Below are 8,980 nucleotides of genomic sequence, written 5' to 3'. Positions count from 1 at the left end.
TCCATGTTGCTGAGCCCATGCATAACCTCCATCCTTGCCTCCATGACACGGGTGGCTGGGGAATGAGGCTGAGTGGTGTCCACAGAACAGATCATCCTATCCACTCGATTATTAATATCCTCGTCTGCTGAGGTCACTCATTGGTGAGCACTCATGGGGATACAAATATCTTCACAGTTTTTGACCAAACAGGTCCATCCACATACCTCTTTCCCAAATTTCTTTGTCACCAATTTTCCGATCATGCCTCTTCCAAGTTCCTGACAATCCAGCCAAACCATTGGCTACAGTTCATGAATCAGTATATAGTCACACATCTGGCCATTTCTCCTTCCGTGCAAAGTGCACAACCAGGTGCACTGCTGGAAGCTCTGCCCACTGGGAAGATTTCCCTTCACAGCTGTCCTTCAGGGATATCCTAGAAAGGGACTGTAGTGCTGCAGCTGTCCAGTTTCGGGTGGTGCTAGCATATCGTGAAGAACCGTCTGTGAACCAGGCCGTAGTCTTCTCTTCCTCTGTCCACTGATCATAGGAAACTCCCCATGAGGCCATTGGTGCAGGCTGCAGGAGAGAAAGCAGGGTAGCAGGAGTGGAGACCATGGGCATTTGCCTCACTTCCTCATGTAACTTACTTGTGCCTTTAGGACCTGCTTGAGCCCGATCATGTATGTACCACTTCCATTTGATGATGGAATGCTGCTGTGCATGACCCACTCTATGGCTAGATGGGTCAGAAAGCACCCAGTTCAGGTTGCATGGTGACTTGATGATCTATAGTCAAACATTCAGTTTTCACCAAAGCTCAGTAACAGGCCAAGAGCTGTCTCTCAAAAGGAAAGTAGTTATCTGCAGAAGATGGCAGGGCCTTGCTCCAAAATCCTAGATGCCTCTGCTGTGATTCACGTATGCAGGCCCACCAAAGGCTCCCAACAGCATCCCTGTCTGCCACTGACACCTGAAGGACCATTGGATCTGCTGGGTCATATGGCCCAAGTGTCAGAGCAGCTTGCACAGCAGCCTGGGCCTTTCAGAGACTTATCTTGTTCTTGACCTGATTCAAAACTGGGAGCCTTTCAGGTCACTCGATAAATGGGCCAGAGTAACACACCCAAATAAGGAATATGTTGCCTCCAAAATCCAAATAGGCCTACTAGATGTTGTGCCTCTTTCTTGGTTGTAGGATGGGCCAAATGCAACAACTTATCCTTCACCTTGGAAGGAATATCTTGACAGGCCCCACATCACTAAACCCCTAGAAATTTTACTGAGATAGAAGATCCCTGAATTTTAGTCAAATTTATTTCCCATCCTCTGGCATGCTAATGTCTCACCAATAAGTCCAATGTGTTTGCTACTTCTTGCTCACTGGATCCAATCAGCATAATGTCATTAATGTAATGGACCAGTGTGATACCTTATGGAAGTGAAAAGCAATCAAAGACTCTCCAAATAAGAATATGACACAAAGCCAGAAAGCTGATATACCCCTAAGGTAGGACAGTAAAAATATATTGCTGCTTCTGTGGGCCTTATGGACAGGAATGGAGAAAAAGGCATTTGCCAAGTCAATGGCTGCATTACCAGGTACCAGGAGATGTGTTAATTTGCTCAAGCAATGAAACCACATCTAGTACAATAGCTTCAACTGCAGACACAACTTGGTTAAGCATACAATAATCCACTGTCATTCTCCAAGATCCACCTGTCTTCTGCACAGACCAAATAGGAGAGTTGAACAGGGTTGTGGTTGGAATCACCACCCCTGCATCTTTCAAGTCCTTCATGGTGGCACTAATTTCTGCAGTCCCTACAGGGGTGTGATATGGTTTCTGGTTTACTGTTTTTCTAGGCAGAGGCAGCTCTAACGGCTTCCATTTGGCCCTTCCCACCATAATAGCCTTCATCCTACCAGTCAGGGAGCCAGTGTGGGAGTTCTGCCACCTAAGTATGTCTATGTCAATTATGCATTTAGGCACTGTGAAAATGACCACAGGGTGAGTCCAGGGACCCACTGGACCTACTGTAATTTGAATCTGAGCTAAAACTCCATTAATTACCTGATGTCCATAAGCCCCTACTTTAACTGGAGGATCACAATGATGTTTTGGGTCCCCGGGAATCAATGTCAGCTCAAGGCCAGTGTCCACTAGTGCTTGAAATGTCTGATCATTTCTCTTTCCCCAATGCACAGTTACCCTGGTAAAAGGCTGGATATCTCATTGGGGAAGGATGGGAGAAAGATTAACAGCATAAATTGTTAGTAGTGTACTGGGGTCCTTCCTCTAGGGGACCCAGCCTCCCCTTCATTCAAGGGGTTCTGGGTCTGTAAACTGGCTCAATTCTGGAAATTGATTAAGGGGCCATGATTCTTTGTTCTTACAATTCAAATTTGTCTTTTGTCCATTAGACCCAGAAGTTTTCTGCTTTATAAAATAAAGTAGGAATGCAGTAGGCTTCCTATCAGTATGACTTCTAGGAACACTGTGATTATTTAACCAATGCCAGAGTTCTACATGAGTCAGACTATTCTGATTGCCGCTTTGCCTCTGCTGTCCATTATGGTAGCTACGTCTACCTCGCTTTTGACAGTTGACTGCTGCCACTTGGCCCCTGCCACCTCGGAATCCAATTATTCCCACTGTATTTAAATGTTGTAGTTGAGTGACTGTGGTTTCCACTGTTAGAGCTGACATACAGAAAAGAGCAATTATAGAGTTCTAAAAAAATACAGGTGCTACCCTCACAAATCTATTTTACAAAGCATTGGTCAAGGGTATAGCCTCTAGACCTGCGCAGCTGGGATGAGTCGGTCCAAAGTGACTAATCTACTTCAGTATCCCTATCTCTTTAAGGTTTTGGATCCTTTTTTCTACATTAACCCAAGGGAGATCAGACATTTCCAGGTTGGTCACAGTGGGCCATCTTTTAATCTATATTTCAGCTAACCAAACAAATACATTATTAGAAACTTTTTAAATTTCCCCAGCTGCAACATTAAATGCAGAGTCCCTACTTAGTGGGTCTAAATCAATAAATTCAGCCTGACCCAACTTTATGTTTCTTCCACCATTATCTCACATCCTTAATATCAATTCCCATGCCTGTTCTCCAGATTTCTGTTTCTATAAATTAGAACATTCAAGTAGTTCTTTTTGAATGTAGCTCACCTTCTCATGGGTCACACTCTGAAACTTGCCTCTAGGGGCCCGCTGGGACTTTAGTATAGTTACAGGTCTAGAAGCAAATAGGGGTGTTGTGGGTGGCTCCTGAGGAGAATCAACATTACCTTGCCTGGCAACTGCCTCAGGGAGGTCATAACTGTTGCCTCAGGCAGCGAGGGTTTATCTCCTCAGACAAAGGTGGAAAGGCTGATGGCAGTGTGGGTTGTGGGTCATATATATATTATATATATAATATATATCTTATTATATATAAATATATATTAAATATATATTTATATATAATAAATATATATATTATATATCATATTTCTTATATATAATAATATATTATATATAATATATATGATATTATATTATATATAATATATATGATATTATATTATATATAATATATATGATATTATATTATATATAATATATATGATATTATATTATATATATAAGATATATATCATACATGATATATCATATATATAAGATATATATATCATGTATGATATATATCTTATTTTATATATAATATATAAGATATATGATATATATCTTATAATATGTAAGATATATGACATATATCTTACATATAATATGTAAGATATATGACATATATCTTACATATAATATGTAAGATATATGATATATATCTTACATGTAATATGTAAGATATATGATATATATATTTATATAATATATATCTTATTTTATATACGTTATATATATGTCTTATTGTATATGTAACAAAAGATATACATATCTTATTTTATATATAACATATAAGATATATATCCTATTTTATATATAAGATATATGATATATATCTTATATGTAAATTATATATATTATATATAGTATATATCTTATTTCATATATTATATATATTTTATATTATATATAATTATATACAATATATATTTTATATTATATAATTATATATAATATATATTTTATATAATATATAATTATATATAATATATATTTTATATAATATATACTATATAATATATATTTTATATTATAATTATATATAATATATATTTTATATTATATATATATTTTATATTATATATAATTACATATAATATATATTTTATATTATATATATATTTTATATTATATATAATTATATATTATATATATTTTATGTTATATATAATTATATAATATATTTTATATATAATTATACATAATATATATTTTATATTATATATAATATATATTATATATGAAATATATATATTATGTATATAATATATAATAAAATAATATGTATAATTTTTATATTATATATAATTATATATAAGATATATGATATATATCTTATATCTTATATCTTTTTTATTTATCTTTTTTATATATTTTATTTATATCTTATTTTTATCTTTATATCTTATCTTATATATATCTTGTTTTATATATAATATATAAGATATATCTTATTTTATAATATATAAGTTATATATGTCTTATTTTATATATAAAAAAAGATATACATATCTTATTTTATATATAACATAATATATAATATGTATGTTATATATGACATATTATATATATTAATATATATTATATATATCTTATTAGTTCTGTCCCTCTAGGGAACCCTTTATATGTAAACTCCCCTTTATATAAATATAATGTATAAAGGGGATATAAACATAAATATAAAGGGGAGTTTATTAAGTAGCATTAACTCACAACATCACAACATCACACAGTCGGCCAGCTGCAAGCTGAGGAACAAGGAAGCCATTCAAAGTACCAAAGCTGAAGAATTTGGAGTCCCATGTTTGAGGGCAGGAAGCATCCAGCATGGGGGAAAAAAGAAATGCAGACTGGGAGGCTAAGCCAGCCTAGCCTCTTCACATTTTTTTCTGCCTGCTTCATATTTGCTGGCAGTTGATTAGATGGTGCCCATCCAGATTAAGGGTGAGTCTGCCTTCCCCAACCCACTGACTCAAATGTTAATCTCCTTTGGCAATACTCTCACAGACACACCCAGGATTCATACTTTGCATATTTCAATCCAATCAAGTTGACACTCAGTATTAACCATCACAGTAGCCAAAAAGCAAAATACAGACATTTTCAGAAAAATGAGATAATTTGAAGTAGGAGATTTCCAATATAAACAATACCAAGGGGAATGTAGTCCTTTAAAAGGAAAATAGAATATATAGAAAAAGTAAGAAATGGAGAAAGAATAAAAAGCCATAGAAAGTACTAATATGTAGATACATTTAAATAAATCTTGACCATAAAAACAAAATAGTATCTTATGGGATTAAATTATAGGTAGAATTAAATGTATGACAAAAATGATATCAAAGGAAGAAGAATTTAAAAAGATGGAACTCTACTAAGAGTCTAACATTATCTGGAAAATTGTAAACATGCTCTACTATAAGGAAAAAATATGCTGTGATTTCTAGGTTAATAGTTAAAGGAAGAGTAAAAAATGTAAATACAAGCTAATAGAGGAAACATTTGTGATAACTGAAAATAATTGATTAATCCAAAAGAAGGCTCAAAAGTAAAGAAAAAGAAGACTAGAACAAGCAGAAACAATGGACAGTAAATAGTGAGATGGTAGATATAAACAGATACATCCATGGTTATAATAAATGTACACTGTATGAACATTTCAATTAAGATACAAAGGTTTTCAGGCTGTATTCAGCTATACGCTACTTCCAAATAGACATCCCTTAATGTAAGGACATAGAAATCTTGAATGTAAAACACTAGAAAAAGATATACCTTGTAAACACAGACTAAAAGCAATCTGGAGGTGCTGTACTAATATAAAAACACATCAATTTTAAGGCAAGAAACACTTCTAAGAAATATATTTGTACGTTCTATTTAATCTAGCCTCAAAATGTATAAAGGAAAAACTGATAGATCTAAAATGACAAATTGATATACACAAACATAGAATGTCATTTCAATACACCTCTTCCTGTGACTGATGAGATAAACAGATAACACAATCAGTAAGGATATGAAGACATGAATAGCACAATTAACTTGACCTGTATGAAATATCTAAAATGCTATGACTAACATCATAGGAATATGCACTCTTTCCAAGATCACATAAAACATTCACCAGAATCGTCTATTAAAATATTTGACCACAAAAACTTAAGTTATTCAAAGTACTTTCCCTGACCCCAGGAGAGCTAAGCTAGAAATTAATTCTAAAATATATAACTGAAAATTATTAAGTATTTACCAGGTATGTAGTATATTTCCACACTTCTACATAATTCTTGTGTCAAAAGTAATCACAATGGAAGATTAAAAATATTTTTATTAAAAGATAATAAAAATGTAACATCATAACTTGTGGTGTGCTGTTAGAGCTATGTTTAATGGGAAATTTAGAGTTCCAAATCTTTAATTTAGGCAAGTGTACCGAACTATATATTGTCCAAAAGACAATGGGAGCACTGAGAAAAAGATCATTCTGCTCATGAAACACAGCTTGGGAAGTATTTTATGCAGAAACTGTACTTTGTCAAAGTTGTATTGTCTTGGCGACCAGCATAGATGAGTGGGGAAAGTCACAGGGAATGAGTCTGGAAATGCATGGTGAGATAGTTTGAGCAAGCTAAGGAGTTTGGAATTTTTCTCATTGGCCAAGGATTTAATGTGAATTATCAATGGTATTTAATTTGGAAAAAGAAGTGATATAAGCAATCTGAAATAAACAGAAATCTATTTCTGTTTCACAGCAATTAAGGATGGATTTAAAGGATAGACTATAGAGGATGTCCTTAAGATAACATACTTAGAAATAATGAGGGAGAAAATTAATTTAGTGGTTATTAAATGCAGAACAGAATACAAATTCAGGTGCTATTTCTTGGGTTGAATAAACAATACTTGATGATTTATAGGATCCTGGGGAAGTGGTGAAGAAAGGTAGAGACAATTTTCTACTTAATTTACTAGGTAAGTATTGACTATTCCTTTAGAATAAAAGAGAATGAAAGGAGAAGAGGCTCTGAGAAAGAACATAATGGACCCAATTTTAGACACATGAATTTAGGATACCTGTGATAGTTGGAAGTAGCTAATAGAATTTAAAACATTGGTCAACACTTGAAAGACAGGGTTGTGATATGTATATGGGTGATATCAGTTGAAGAAAGAGGAGTAGATGAGAATGCCCAAAGACAATGCAAATCAGGAAAAAAAGAGAGGTATCATGGAGACAATTTCATTGAACATTGAAATTCAAGATGCAGGCAGAGAAAGAGGACATAGACCAGATGCTACAGAGAAGAGATTCAGGGAAATACACATTAGGTATCAGCAAAGTTTTTAAAAGGAGAATAAATCCATTTTCTCAATGTTGTAAGACTATTGTCATCTCCTCCATATGCTTAAATACTAAATGAATGTAATACTAGGGAGCCATGAGTGCTATACCCTTTTATTTATTTATTTTTCAAAGAATAAGATTTGGAACACAGATAGCAAATACATGAAATCTTTATCAATGATGCTACAACTAGGCCAGATTGACTGGTAGTTGAATGAAACAGGTAGCTAATAGAGAAACTGATGGAAAAAATTTGCCTGGAAAGCAAATTGAAAATCAGTTAATGTTAACATTATTCAACATTAATCAGTCAGTGAACGTCAACATCAAGTAGCCATGGATGTAAAATGGTGTCCTCTCTATTACATTTAGTATCTCTGGTTCAGACATTACCTTTAACAAACATAGAGGCATACACAAGTTTAAAACTTGAAGTCTAAAATCTAAAATCCCAAGTGTAAGCCATTTCTCCTCTTTTAAAAATTGCTCTGACAGGGAAGATTTACCTATTGAAATATTGTTAACATCATTTCCATTGTAACTAATTATAACAATGATACCTATTTGGAAATATTATACCACATGCTTGAGTTGAAATTATACATATGGGGAGAGAATAATAATAAAAATATCCTTAATTTGTTTATATACCAATCAGCCCTAGAGAAAAAATAAAGCTTAACTGAAAATGCCTGCAAATTTTCTTTCTAGAAATGTTTTGGAAAATGTTTGTTAATCATACCCCACCTTCATCCAAAAAAAAAAAAAAAAAGGGACTCTTTAAAGAACAATACTTCGGGGACAGGAAAATAATTAAAAATTAAAGTGTATTGGAAAGCAAGACAATACCTCTTTCTAGTAAACAATTTGATCTCTTGGCTTTGGGTGGTTCAGTAGCAAATAATTAAAATACTGATGCTAATATACAATCGGTTTATTAAAAATTCTACTTCAGAGATTTATTGTGCCTCTCTGGATTTGAAGTGAACTTTCCACTCTTCATTGTTATGCAGACTACCAGGCATTTGGGGATAATCAGTTCATTAGCTGGGCTTAGGAAATGACCCTCACATCACCTTCTCTGTTTGGGTTTGCAAAGGTCACCATGCAAATGTGCACGCTTTGCACCCAGACAAGCTCAGAGAAATGGCCTGAAATCTGACATGTTTTGTGACTCTGTGACAAGTTCTGACCCTTCTTTTACAAAGAAAGCCCTGAAGTTAGAGAGGTACACACACTGAGGGTACTAAAAACTGTAAACAGAGCAAGTCAGGGCAGCACCAGAGAAACAAACACGTTAGATGGAAATAACAGATCACTTTTCCATATTAATGAGACATTATAAATCACAATTTAATACAAGAAAATACACTTAAAATATCCACTGTCTGCACAGATTTTTCATAAATATTCAAAACATGACCCATTTATCTTAGCCCGCAGGAAAAATTTAACTGAAGTAATCTCTGTC

The 8,980-nt window shown here is 33.7% G+C and overlaps 1 annotated feature.

The window, feature by feature from the left end:
* Positions 8,256 to 8,757: an enhancer, noted in NCBI's record as "NANOG hESC enhancer chr2:211994958-211995459 (GRCh37/hg19 assembly coordinates)". NCBI's record gives its function as "activates a minimal SCP1, AML or CMV promoter by ChIP-STARR-seq in primed H9 embryonic stem cells {active_cell/tissue: H9 hESC(primed)}" and the evidence as "EXISTENCE:reporter gene assay evidence [ECO:0000049][PMID:30033119]".

Source organism: Homo sapiens, chromosome 2 (genome assembly GCF_000001405.40).
Source record: "Homo sapiens chromosome 2, GRCh38.p14 Primary Assembly".
NCBI lineage: Eukaryota > Metazoa > Chordata > Mammalia > Primates > Hominidae > Homo > Homo sapiens.
Note: the sequence above shows the minus strand (reverse complement) of the source record. Positions and strands in the feature narration are given on the sequence as shown.